The 14,270-nt window shown below is 39.6% G+C and overlaps 4 annotated features.

The window, feature by feature from the left end:
* Window positions 3,654–4,195: an enhancer, noted in NCBI's record as "NANOG hESC enhancer chr5:40496352-40496893 (GRCh37/hg19 assembly coordinates)". NCBI's record gives its function as "activates a minimal SCP1, AML or CMV promoter by ChIP-STARR-seq in primed H9 embryonic stem cells {active_cell/tissue: H9 hESC(primed)}" and the evidence as "EXISTENCE:reporter gene assay evidence [ECO:0000049][PMID:30033119]".
* Window positions 9,863–10,012: an enhancer, noted in NCBI's record as "rs9283753 150 bp oligo used in MPRA constructs". NCBI's record gives its function as "activates a minimal TATA promoter with higher activity for the rs9283753 T allele by MPRAs in lymphoblastoid cell lines {active_cell/tissue: LCL}" and the evidence as "EXISTENCE:reporter gene assay evidence [ECO:0000049][PMID:27259153]".
* Window position 9,938: a transcriptional cis regulatory region, noted in NCBI's record as "rs9283753 emVar and PTGER4 eQTL with higher activity for the alternative T allele than the reference C allele". NCBI's record gives its function as "positively regulates PTGER4 gene expression with skewed activity for the T allele in lymphoblastoid cell lines {active_cell/tissue: LCL}" and the evidence as "EXISTENCE:mutant phenotype evidence [ECO:0000015][PMID:27259153]" and "EXISTENCE:natural variation mutant evidence [ECO:0001103][PMID:27259153]".
* Window positions 13,640–13,699: an enhancer, noted in NCBI's record as "active region_22500". NCBI's record gives its function as "activates an Ori minimal core promoter by ATAC-STARR-seq in GM12878 lymphoblastoid cells {active_cell/tissue: GM12878}" and the evidence as "EXISTENCE:reporter gene assay evidence [ECO:0000049][PMID:35858748]".

Here is a 14,270-nt window from a genome sequence, read left to right as displayed (position 1 = left end):
AGGAGTGGGGGTAGAAAGGAAGTTATAGAACAGGTGACAAAGTCATCAATAAGTGATGAAGAGTGACCAAGTTTTGTAGATGCCAGTAGCAAGTAGAAAGAGTATGATGGCTTAAACTTCAAAGGATCTGGGCTTTTGAGCACAGGGAGAAGAAATGGTTTAGAAGGAGCAATGGGATCTAACTCCAGGCTTTGAGGTACCAAGGGGAAGGAGAAGAAATCTTCCCTCAGTAAGACTGCAAGAGAAGCTGTGCCACTAGTGGGGAGCCAGGTGAAGGGAGTGCTCAAAGATGGGTTGTATTCTTTTTCCGGGGAGGTATAACAAAGTATTACAAACTGGGTGGCTTAAAACAACAGAAATTTATTGTCTTCCAGTTCTGAAGGCCAAAAGTCCAAAGTCAAGATGCCAGCAGGGCTGTGCTTCCCTGAGGTCTGTTCCAGGCCTTTCTCCTAACTTCTGGTAGTTCCTTGGCTTGCCACAGCATAACTCCAATCTTCATTTGGTGTTTTTGTGTGTATGTGTGTGTGTGTCTTTGTCCAAACTTGCCTGTTTGAGAAGGACACTAGTTCTATTGGATCAGAGGGCCATCCTACTGCAGTATGACCTTATCCTAACTAATTACATCTGCAACAGCCCTATTTCTCAATAAGGTCACACTCTAAAGTACTGAGGGTTACGATGTCAACATATGAACGGAGAGAGGGATGCAGTTCAACTCATAACAAGAGTGTTTGCTGATGGCAGACAAGAGGAAACACTGGAGGGGTTTGGGAGGTACAGGATGATTAAGAAAGTGGGTCAGAGTAGGAAATGTACAGAGTACTAGGGATGGAGCTCAGGTTTCTGGTTAATAGACAACAGGGATGTCAGGTCTGGTGGCTTTACATTTGATAGCCAGACAGGGGGATATGGGGACACTAGACAGACATTCTCTCCTGCAGCTCTCAGCAGGATGGTGGCCAAGGGGAAAGTAAAAGAGCCTCAGTGTGCTGGTCTCAGGAACAAAAGGAAATCTGAGGACTTCTTTTCTCTAGTTCTGAGGTGGTGTAGTGGCTTTGGGGAGCATCTGTCTCACTTGGAGCATGAAACTGGGAATGTGTCTCCTTTGAAGGGTTTGTGTTGTGGCAGCTGAGACATGAGATGTGGAGAAGAGCCTTTACCATCTGATGGTTTGGTGTTGTACTTATTCATCAAGCAACCCGTGGAAGCTACAAGTGTCATGTCAGCTACAGAGCAGAGCAAAATGTTTGGTATTACAAGAAACAGTTTTTACCATGTTTCAGCAATAGTGAAACCAAAATTGCAAGGAAGAATGTTATTTTAACAGGGAACAATTTTATTGGGTATGAGTACATGGGATTCTTTGACATATTCGTTACAATATGCTGCTGCTGCTAAGTGAGTTTTTAAAAATCTTTAAGACCAGCATGGAGGGACCTCTGTCTGTCAGAAAAGTCTTCACAAAATTTGTCAAATGGAAGAAGTTTGGTTTGGGTGCCCATCTATTTTTCCCTTCTTTATTCTTGTTCCACTTGCTGACACCCTTTTCCCTCCACTCTCCAGAGACTCCTTACTTGCCTGATATTTTGCTTTTATTCTCCTTCTCCTTCTTCTTTATGTCATTTACTCCCTAGTGTAACAAACATGTTGCTTTCTTCAGCCTATTTGCATTGAAAGAAGATGCTGCCTAGTGCAATTAAGACAGCTTCCTCGTCTGGGGGTGGAGATCCTGACATTGCATCTGCTTTATCATTTTGTACCCATGTGATCCCCTATCTTCAAATATAAATAGGACTAATAACATCTACCCCCACAGTTATGATGATCAATAAACGAAAAGGGGCTAAGGAAATCAGTGGCTGGCATTTTGTGTCTTTAAATTATTTCTTTCTCTGTGCCATAAGTTATTCAGTTTTGGAACCGGAATTCTTGTTAAACCAGAGGGAACAAATTTCATAACAATTGATAATGACGGACCAGGGGATAAGTGAGGTGGTGGGAACATTTTTCAGTACATATCAATCACATCAAGGCCAAAAGCTCAGATTTAAAATTCGGCATTGGTTTGTAAGCCAGAATACATTACTATTATGCCACAGGAAAAAAAATCTCAAATGTCCACTGATTCTTTTTTTTTTTTTTTTTTTTTGAGACAGAGTCTTGCTCTGTCACCCAGGCTGGAGTGCAGTGGCACGATCTTGGCTTACTGCAACCTCCGCTTCCTGGGCTCAAGTGATTCTCCAGCCTCAGCCTCCTGAGTATCTGGGACTACAGGCATGCACTACCATGCCCGGCTAAATATTTTTTTGTATTTTTAGTAGAGATGGGGTTTCACCATATTGGCCAGACTGGTGTGAGCCTCTGCGCCAGGCCAAATGTCTGCTGATTCTGACCGCTTCCAAGCTATGTGACCTCTCCTTTAGCAGGTCCAAATTATTCAAGTTTCTACTATATTCAGGTCTTCGAGTGTGGCTGAACTATTAGTAAAGGTAATTCAGGAATATACAGCAATTTCTTTTCATCCGTAAGAGCCAAAGGAATTCAGTTGGAATGTGAGCTTCAGTATAAGACAGGAAATGGAAAGTCAGATTCTTAGTGAATTTTAATCCAAGGTAATTAGTCATTCTCTCATCTAGGCCTGCACTCAAATCTCCTGAATGATGTAGACTTGTGATTGTTCCTATGGCAGCAATCTCAAACTTTACTGTACTTAAGAGTCTCTAGGGAACCCTCTAAAGAGGCCCTTCTCTCAGAGATTCTAAATGACTAGGTGTTAGGTAAGGCCCAGCCCCTGTATTTCTGCAGAGCTCTTATGGTGACTCTGGTCAGAGGATCCATAGATGACACTTTGAGAAACACTAACCAATTGATATAAACTTGTCATTGGAAAAATGCAGTTGCTTTAAGTCAGGGATCAATTTCTTTCCCCTGTCCTTTGTTTTCGACTTTCCGTATTTAACACTGTGTGATGCGCATGGAAGGGAGCTTAATATATTTTAGCGGGCAAAATAACTACAGGGAATTTATCTGTAAAATATTGAATTATCACGTCAAGGAAAGGGTTAGCTGAAGTTATTTCTAATATTGACCTTTATTAGAAGATGTTGACTACCTTTTTTCCATTTTATTTCCCTCAGCTTCTTGAATCACAATTATCCATTTTCTTTGTAATAGAATGGTCAGTAAAGGAAATTAAGTGCATCACTCCTATAGCTGTACTTTCCACGAAATTCAATTTTGCTGACCCAACTTCTTCTCTTTAATTTCAGATCTCTTGGAGGCATGAAATCAAGAATTAGGTTTATAAGCCTAGAAAATTTATCACATGCCACCTAGTATGTTCCTTGCCTTTAGCAAGATGGCATCTAAGTCAATCTATTGCAATTGTACTTCTGAGGTGACCAGAGGTACCTGTGCCTCTGCTGTGGGGGGGGTCCCCACCTGCACCCATGTTCCCTTGCTTTTGCATCCTAGATTATAAAGGTAATTTCTCTAGGTGTTTGCTACTGATTTGTGAAGGATTGTTAAGGCAAAAAGAGGCAGCAGGTTTTCTAACTAATGTTGGGAAATTTTGACATGCTTAGCAGACACAGTCCTCAGGAATAATAAAATAATCTTTGGGAGAAAGAAACATGAATGCTTGTTCTTTAAGTAGAAAAACTGAGACCCAAAGTATGGATTAGAAGCTGCACGAGTAATGCTCTCTTTACCTGCGCAGTGCTGTTACACTGCCACAGGCAATGTTCTGTAACCCCTATGCTACCACCAAATCAAACCAACGGCAGTAATAAAGGATTCAAATAGCAAGGGTTAATGATATTCAGATATAATCTTCAACTTTCATATTAACAAAGACCTTCTTTAAACTGTCTTGCTTAATTTAAATTCTTTCATATTACCTTCTCAAAGAGGTGTTAATAGGAACAATGGGCACAAAAGGGCAAGAATGCAGTCAAGACAAAGGCCAAGAGCCCAGCTAACTAACCTGAATGAACATCTGCAAAATTTGGTTGCAGCAGTTTTATGTTAGGATGTAATGATCATTCACTCTCTCCGTCAGGCCAGTGCAGGCCCCTCATAGGGTGTCCTGTATGTGGTGGGTGTTCAATAAGTGCTTATAACCCATTCATCTCCATTCAGTTAGATGAGAATCATTTGACTTGGATTTTTCCAGTTCTGTGATTAGAATCACAGGATTTTCGGTGTGTTTGTAAGGGATGAAAAGAGTTCGTTTGGATTAGAAATGATACAAAGACCATACATTTCTTGTCGTTGAGCTTAAGCATACAAAAAAAAAAAAGGAAAAATGATCATACTTGCATTGGGGAGTAGAGTGAGATCTTGAGCCATGGCTGGGTGATGCTGAGCAGCTTATAGCATCTCACAGGAATGACTTCTATTGCGGTGGGACTCTTTCTCCACTGGGGCCCTCCAGAAATTGGGGACAGTCTCTTTTGAGATGCAGGAGCGAGTGAGTCCTGGTATTTCTGGTTGATGTGGGAATTGAATTTGTCACTGTGTAGGTGGGTTTGGGGCAGGCAAGCTAATGCCTGGAATTTGCTTGAGTGGAACAAATAACACAGCACCATGTCTCAGCAGTCCCATCGCTCGTGGGCTACTTAGTGGCCAAACTCATGTTCAGAATCAATCAGTCAGCTTTGTTTGTCCACTCTGGGCTGACTGCCTCACAGACTTGCAGAAAATGTTGCACTGACAGAAAGTAAAATCACCCCAAGAGTTTCATTCATGTCTTGTTTGCATCTTAATGATAAATATTTATTATTCTGGTGAAAAGAATTTTCCTTGTGTGTCATATTCCATCTTCTGGGAAGAAAATATTAAGAAAAGAGGGCATTCATCATTCTAGAGTTTATTGGCTCTTACTGTTTATTTATTCTTGAAAGGAAAACAATCCCCACATCAGGAAGTGGTGATGTGACAGAGCCAAGCCTGCAGATGTATGGTGGAGAAAACTCAAGGTGACAACGACTTGGGCTGTTTCAATGGTGTACATTTTCAGAAAATGACTTTGCTCTCACGTTGTTGGTACTGACACTTTGCTCCTTCCTTGTTCTAGTTTATGGCTGGCTGGGTTGTGAAACCCTGGGGAAGTCACCTCAGCTTTGAGCCTCAATTTCTCCATTGTAAAATGAGGAATTGGAGATGCGATCCTAGATGTGACTTTCATTTATAATGACTGTAATTATTATCTTTTAAAAACTGGAGGCTTTTTTGGTATATTATATTAACAAAGTGAAAATCTCATGAAACCCAGAATTTCTTAAAGTATAAGCTAAAATGTCAGCATTTCTCATGCTGTATGTGAGCAAATGAGAGGAATGCTGAGCATTGGGATGAACACTTCTCTCCTGGCAGGGATGGAGGGGCAGGGCTCTTGGCTGGGAGGTCTGATTCTCACTAACATGAACCTTTGGAATGTAGATCAGAGCTTTGCTCTTGGATGGGTGTGGAGAGAACCTAAAGTACATCACATTAATGCTTCTCTGCTAGAATCCCATATCCTTCTGCTGTCCCTCCCAGCCTCTTCTCACCGCTTTCCTTCTCTTTCTCTCTTTCTCGCTCTCTATTTTCATACTGCTATAAAGATACTACCTGAGACTGGGTAATTTAGAAAGAAAAGTGGTTTAACTGACTCACAGTTCTGCATGGCTGGGGAGGCCTCAGGAAACTTACAGTCATGGCGGAAGGTGAAGAAGAAGCAAGTACCTTCTTTGCAAGGTGGTAGGAAAGAGAGAAAAACCCAGGGGAAACTACGATTTATAAAATCATCAGTTACTTCATTCCTGAGTTACTTCACTTAGAATAATGGTCTCCAATTCCATCCAGCATGGATAGAATGGCATGGTGGAAATGCCATTATTTGTTCCTTATTATGCCTGAGTAGTATCCCATGGTATATATTAGGTTGGTGCAAAATGAATTGCAGTTTCTGCAATTACTTTTTAAAAAAAATAGCAAAAACTGAAATTAGTTGTGCACCAACCTAATATATACCACATTTTATTTATTTTATTTATTTTTTTTCTTAATTTGTATTTTTTAAATTTAATCTAATTTACTTTTAAGTACTGGGATACATGTGCAGGATGTGTAGGTTTGTTTCATAGGTAAACATGTGCCATGGTGGTTTGCTGCACCTATCAATCCACCACCTAGGTATTAAGCCCTGCATGCATTAGCTATTTATCCTGACGCTCTCCCTACTCCACTCTGACAGGCTCCAGTGTGTGTTGTTCCCCTCACTGTGTCCATGTGTTCTCATTGTTCAGCTCCCACTTATAAGTGAGAACATGCTATATCACATTTTCTTTATCTACTTGTTGATTGATGGGCATTTGGGATGATTCCATAATTTTGCAATTACAAATTGTGCTGCTATAAACATGTGTGTGCAGGTGTCTTTTGTATAATGACCTTTTTTCCCTCTGGGTAGATACCCAGTAGTGGGATTGCTGGATCAAATGGTAGATCTACTTTTAGTTCTTTTAGAATCTCCACACTGAAATGGAAAACCAAATATCATATTTTCTCACTCATAAGTAGGAGCTAAGCTATGACGATGCAAAGGCATAAGAATAATACAATGGACTTTGGGGACTCGGGGGAAAGGGTGGGAGGAGGGTGAGGGATAAAAGCCTATATATTTGGTACAGTGTACACTACTTGGGTGAGTGGTGCACCCAAATCTCATAAATCACCACTAAAGAACCCATCCATGTAATCAAACACCACTCGTTCCCCAAAAACCTATTGGAATAAAAAATAAAAATTCAAAAAAAGAAAAGGAAGAGAAATCATGTATGCACACACCCAAAGAAAGGGCTACATGAAGACACAGCAAGAAGGTAGCTGCGTGAAAGTTGAGGATAGAGACCTCAGAAGAAGTCTACCTTGCCAGCACCTTGATCTTGGACTTCCACCCTCCAGAACTGGAAAAATAAATTTATGTCATTAAAAAAAAGACCTTATGAGAACTCACTCAGTATCACGAGAACAGTATAGGAGAAACCACCCCCATGATCCAATAGCTTAATGCTAAGTCCCTCCTTTGACACCTGGGATTATGGGGCTTACAATTCGAGATGAGATTTGGGTGGGGACACAGCCAAACCATATCACTCTCTCTCCTTTCTTTCTCTCCCTCTTTCCCTTTCCTTTCTGTGTGTCCTGTGTGGGAAGTTTTTCTATCTCTGCCTTTTAATTTTCCTTCTTTGTTTCATCCTTTTCTCTCATGTTTCCCCCTTTCTGTTTGTCCCTTGTTCTTTAGACCAAACATATACATATTGTAGATCTTATTTTACTCAACCATTTTTAGCATTTGAGTTTTAGTTCCCCCCCCCCCGCCCCAAACTTTCTTCTTAATTATTAGTGAACAGGGTCATGTTCTTTCTAAACCAGAGACAGAATTAAATTGATTTTACATGGCCCCTGTTTCAAAATTTTCCGGTGGGAAAGTGGTTTCCAAAGTCAACAAGAAAGCAGCCAAAACCAAAAAGCAAACAAAGAAACAACAACAAAAAAACCTCTCTCTTCACATAGAAGAAGACAGGAATCGACATTTAGGTGTTAGTATAATACCCAACACCTAATTGTCCACTCCTAGAAGAAGGGAATATAAATTATTTTACCAGCCGTAGCTTTTTAGAGGCAAGTAACACTCAGAGTTAGAAAGTTTTTTTTATTCTCCAGAGGACCATGAGGCTGGGGCTGGACATTCAGAACAAGAATCTTAGGCTCCGTTGAACATTTGAGAAGCCTGAAGGTGGAGATTGTGCTGAGGGGAGCTTTCCACCCTGTTTTTTTTTTTTTTTTTCTGGAGTACAGTGGTGTGATCTCAGCTCACTGCAAACTCTGCCTCCTGGGTTCAAGCGATTATCATGCCTCAGCCTCCTGAGTAGCTGGGACTACAGGTGTGCACCACCACACCCAGCTAATTTTTGTATTTTTAGTAGAGATGGGGGTTTTGCCATGTTGGCCAGGCTGGTCTTGAACTCCTGGCCTCAAGTGGTCCACCCATCTTGGCCTCCCAAAGTTCTGGGATTACAGGTGAGAGCCACCGTGCCTGGCCCCAGCCTGCTTTTAACTAGACAACTCCCTGCTTGGCTTTTTAGAATACTGGTCATCATATGGGCTTTCAGCTGATGAAATAGCTCCTCTGCTGATCTCATGTATCAGTTACATTTTACAGAGAAGGACATTTCCTAATTGACAGAAATCTCATGTTAAGAAATATTGTGGTAAATAACAGCAGGACCATCAATACCACAGCAATAGTAGTATATTGTTCATTTTGAGCTAGGGACTCTGGGCCAATTGAAAATACTGGAGTAACTGTATTCTGGTCTAGGTACACAGTATTTAGAGGCCATTGGGAACCTAAAGTGATTTCTTTATAGGAGGGCAGGCAGGATGCAAAGAGGCTGAAAAATCAAGTCACATGAGGGCTAGTTGAGGGGGAAGTTGATGTCTAATGTGAAAAAGAGAAAACCAAGGAGGAGACATGATTGCTATTTTTATAGCCATAGGGCAAACGTGAACAAGAAAGATAACATCTTTGGTATCCTTGAGGACAGAGACAAGTCCTGGGATGCAAGCATTGGGAAACAGATCTAGTCTAAGTGATCTGAAGGAGTGTCAAGTGACTGGAGTTATGTCACATTGATCTTGTGCAGAGTAGGTAGCACTGAGCAGCCTGGTAGAGCAAGTGTTCCAGAAAAAGGAATACAGTGGGATTTCTGTATCAGCTCAGAGGTTGTACCTGATGATGGCTGAGGTCTTTAAACTCTGAGATTCTAAGATATAATGGCCTAGGGAATCATATTTTGCTTAGTTCAAAACATGCTTTGCATTTCGATTACAACTTTAAAACACAATAGCTTTAAGAAGCAATGGCTTCTAAGGTTCATTTCTGCTGTAAAATTCAAATTGTCTATTACAAGATACTTTTATTGCAGAAAAATTCAGTATACTGAATTAACCCAATACAGCACATGAAGAGGCTTTTATGACACTACAATTCAGTGACTTAATGTGAAATTAAATTAAGATCATGTGACATTTAGTTGAGGTCTTTTTAAATACTCAAATGCTTTTAAATATTAAGTGTTGAGAGAATCAGAGCACCATATATAAAATTTAATACTCTATTCAGTGTTTACTTACAATTTGGAGTAAATCTATGACATCAAAATTTTTAAATAATAAAACAATATTTTCAAGAGATTGTATTTTCCACACTTCCCATTATTTAATCATCTTTGAAATTCTTTCCTGGTGCCAGCAAGATACTTGTATGTTAGGGTTTTCTAAAGTCCTTTGTAAGGTGAACTTTTTGTCCTCCATCCATTCCACAGGAATTTCTCAATTAGAAGTGAAAATAAAAATTTTAAGGGACATTCCAGTGTAACTGACACAGCAATGTTTTCTGTTCTGGAATTTCAATATGAAGCTATGAGACTGCTTTCAGGTTGAATACACACTCATTTGAGTAACTTCAAATCTCTTTATGCAGCATAAAAAAAAGTCCCGTCTTTCTTATCACCCTTTCTAAAATGCAGTAGCAAAACCAAAATGATAAATCTTAGTTTCAGGCAGAAAGAGTTGTGATTTTGTTTCCCTTTCCCTTTAATTTGTAATTCTTATTTTGAGCAAGAAGGGGAAAAGGTGATTTAAAAATTTGAATAAGTTTTCTACTGGGTCCTATGTGCGGTTTAATGCCTAGGAAAGTTTATTAAGCTTGAGGTTTGCCTTTAAAAAAAATTTCTCTGGTAGGAAAGACTTTTGCCCTTACTTCTCCTTTGAGAGTATCTTTAATTAGGAAATACCCTCATTTGATGTCTGCCCAATCCAACTGCCACCGTTAGCTAATTTTAGTCTTCGCTAAAGTTAAGACAAACAATTTGGGGAATTCCATATGGTGCAAGATTACAGCCTCTTAGAATTTTAAAGCTGGGTCAGACATTCTTTAAATTAGCTCGTGACTCTCATTTTATTGATTAGAACACTGAAGACTGAAATGCAGCAACTTGCCAAAGTTTAGGCATAAAGTTAAAAGGAATTGGGTCAAGAACTCAGAATTTCTTATTCCTTGTACAGAAAATGCTCATCTATGTCCTACGCCATAGATGCATGTGTGAATAAACATTTTCTTTAAAGGAATATTCTTCATAAATGAATTTTATTTTAAAATTTATCACAGAAAGTGACTTTTTTCCTTTTGGTATAAAATCCTATGGATTTTATTTCATGTACAGATTTGTGTAATCCCTACCAGGATTGAGCACAGTTCTATCACTTTGAAAAAATTTCTCATGTCATTCTTTATGAATGTAAATTCATAAAAATACATATTTGTAAAACATAATCTAAAACATAATGTAAATTCATACAAATATATATTTGTAATTTATTTAGGAATATAAATTCAAACCCTTTTCCCAACCCCTGGCAACCATTGACCTATGTCACTATAGTTTTTTTTTTCTTTTTTTAGGATGTCTTTTAAATGTATTCTTATATAGCATGCAATTTTTTGAGACTGACTTATTTCATAAGCATAATGCCTTTAAGATTCATCTGAGTTGTTGCATGTATCAACAATTTGTTCCTTTTTATTGCTACCAGTATTCCATTGTTTGGATCTACCACGGTTTGTTTATCTACTAACCTAGTAAGGGACTGTTGAATTGGCTTCAGAGAACGGATAATTGAAAAGTTTTCCTGAGAACTAGGCAGATGGAAAAGTGTGAATCTGTGACAGGATGACCAACCATCCCAGTTTGACTGGGACTATACTGGTTTTAGTACTGAGAATTCTGTGTTCTAGGTAACTTCTCAGTCCTGTTGTTCACATGTGACTCGGGCTGATCTTAGATGGAATTGTAACCAAGTCAAAATTTGTCTGCTTTCCTGTTTCTACCTAAAGGTACATCTTTTTTCTTTTCTTTTTCTCCCTAACCAAATCCAGCTTTTATCAAAGGACCTGATAAACCCATTCACATTAAGCTGCACATTTCAGATGTAAATTTCCAAGTTATCTTATAAGGGACAGTTACATTTTAAGCTGAGGAATGAGAACCTGTAACATAGAGACATGTAGCATTTTGCAACATATAAATACAGATGGGGAGGTTTTTTTTTGAGCTTCTCATCACCCATAAAGTAATTATTCCCTTCAGAAGGAAAAGATGCTGAACAATCCAGTATCTTGTTGGTGTCTCTTTGCAAAGAAGCAACTAGGGGCAGCTCATCTTCTACCTGTGAGTTCCCATGAGTTCAGCCTGTCCTAATCTAGGTTCAAGTGCTTAATGTGTACAAATGTCTGGGCATGTGAAGCACTCAGAGTGAAGGCAAAGCCTTTAGTAGCCCTTGCAAGAGCCCCACTTCAGCTCCTGCTTTCATCTGCACAAATGGGCAAGCTGAAGAACAATCAACTCTGCATCTGAAGACTGGGCCAGGAGGTTAGGAATAGAAGATCATCTCCCAGGACAACACTCAGAAGTAGTCTGCTTAGGGATAGTAACTGAAATGTTTAATATATATGCAGGTGGCTTCATGTTATAGTGGTTTAGATTCCCGACTCTGGAACCAAATGCTTTGGGTTTCAATCTAAGTCTAGGCTTTCTACCTGTTTCCTTGACACAGTTTCTTCACTGGTAAAATGGGAATATCAATAATATATATCTCATGGGACTTTTGTGAAGCTTAGATGGAATGATGACTGTCAAATGCATTGAAGTTAGTAATGAATGTTAGCTATTTTTATGATGAAATTAAGGTGAAGGTTATGGAGGACCTTGTAATAGTATAAGAACAGATATCTCCTATGCCATTTGAAAGCTTTCTCAGCTTAAGTGGGACCATAAACACTCATTATGTCCTATGTCTGATTTCTTTATGAATAAATGAGAAATTAGTTACAGAAAATAAATGCGGTGTTTATATATAAGGCAGATCTAGATAGTCACAATAGTCAGAGTTCAAGAGGAAACTGATGGAACCAGCCTCTTTTGTTCCTTTTACCAAGAAAGAAAAACTTTCTCAGAAGCTTCCCCAGTTGAACACTGGATTGCATGGCCACCTCTAGCAGAAAGAGAGGTTGGGAGGGTAAAGCATTCCCTGGCTAAGGCCAATTATTGTCCATTGCATAATGCTAGAAGAAAATGAATAACTGGGTAGGCAAGTGACAGAGTTCACTCACACATTAGAGTCCTTTTTATTTTTATTTTGTTACATTAGCTAGCCCCAATGAATTTCTCCTTCTTGTAATCATAAAAACACATGATGCTTTTCAGATGCTCTGATACTGTCAGTTGCTTGGACTCTGGAACTCTTTCGTGGTCCATGAATTGGGCTAGGAAAAAGGCTCTTCTGCTCCTGCCTTTCAGAAGAAGATGGAACCAAGGGGGCTGCAGGTATTACTAAATACCCTCACTTGCCACCACTGCATCTCAGGGACTTGGCCCAGGCCAGGCAGAATTGGTGCCCAAAGCCCAACAAGAAGGAGTCCTGTGAAAAGGGCTGTGGTTCCTATCCATGTTCCTAGAAAAACAGCATGTTTTTCTATGGCCAGGTCATGTGAGGCATATCCCAAACTCTGTTTCTGCTGCTTCTCCGTGTTAGAGAGTTGTCTCACTACACAGATAGCACTCTTGTGGGCCAAAGCCTATGTGACCTACTATAAAGACCTGTTCATTCTGTGATATCCAGAATTATCTAGTTTTCATAACTAAATTCATAATCAAAAGAGTCACCAAATGTTAAGAAGAAATACCTTAAGCATTTGCTCAAATGGATTCATATATGTGTGAAGGATTGACAGTTCTAACCTCCTTATCAATATGGTTATATTCAAAAGCATGACTTCAGCTTACACATTCTAATAAGTAGAGGGACAGAAGAGATAAGAGAGCAGGTCTGAGGGTGTCAGGACCAAAGCCTCTTGGCTTGTAATGCAGCTGAAGACTAAATTTGAAGGAAGACTTTCTGTCTCCATTGTTCCTCCACACTACACTACCTAATCCTCAGACTCTTTCATCAGCCTTCCAATTTCCCTCTACATCACCCTTCAATTGGAATAGAATTTAGTCCTAGATTAAATGAGATATAATATATCAAGTAGTCCAAATCCTTCGTTTTACAGATGAGTAAAATGAAGCCCAGACTGGTTCATTTACACTCCCAGGATATGTAACTTCATGGCAGAAGAAAGAATAAGGATCTTTTGAACCTAGTTGCTTTAAATAAATGGTGACCTGAATTTCCTAACATCTCTGAATCACTGTCCATGTGACCACACATTCAGTTAGGCTCAAATAATACCAGGCAGGTAAAAATAGCAGTGTGGTTTGACCACTTCTCCATTTCCCTGGAGATAAGCTCACTATCACTCTTCTACTTTTGACAGCAGTGCTGTGGTTTTATATTCACTATTTTATCAGACTTCAGGTTTTAATGTAATTATGACTTGGGGCTACTTTAGAGAAAATTATGATAAAAGCATACATAAATGAGATCAGGGTGAGTCCAGAGAATGAGGAGAGAAGAGTGAGAGGCAGGAAATCCCCTGGAACTTTGCAGAGGTGCCAGGGAAGAAGTGAGAGCCATGTGGGATGTGATGCATTGGTGATGCCATGTCAAAGCCCTGGATTAGGACTCAGAAGACCTCATATACTTTGGGTGGTTTCATTTTTATGAACCTTGGTGAGTCTTTCCATATGGTTGGACCAGGTGATTTTAACTGTTACTTGTGGCTTTTCTGACTAAAGGGCTTTGTCTGAGAAAGAAGCACTTTTGAAGTGAGCTTTGTCACGTGAAGCTGTGGCAAAGATGATGTCATACAACTTTAGTTCCGGTTACATTGATCATTCACCCCAATCAGCTGACAGGCTGCGCAATGATTTTTGAATCTGCCATATAGCTCTCACCAGAATGTGGCAATCACAGGCACTGTGGACTGGGAGACGTCCTTTCAGATGTGAATGAGAAGATGCTGGAGGGTCCCCAAAGACAGAATAGAAAAATTCTTTGCTGAATTCAACCTACACCAGCTATAGGGGTTGAAAAATACAATTTAAAAATTAGTATATTCTAAATTTGGACTCAAGGGCAGATGGTTCATAATGAGCACAAATGTCCAAGTTTTCCCATCAGATGGTCATCAGAAGGACACCATGGGCTACTCAATAGGTATTTAGTGACTGTGCAGAAAGGGCAGTCATTTTAGAGAATACAAAGAAGATAGGGCTCCA

The sequence above is a fragment of the Homo sapiens genome, chromosome 5 (assembly GCF_000001405.40).
Source record: "Homo sapiens chromosome 5, GRCh38.p14 Primary Assembly".
Lineage (NCBI taxonomy): Eukaryota > Metazoa > Chordata > Mammalia > Primates > Hominidae > Homo > Homo sapiens.
Note: the sequence above shows the minus strand (reverse complement) of the source record. Positions and strands in the feature narration are given on the sequence as shown.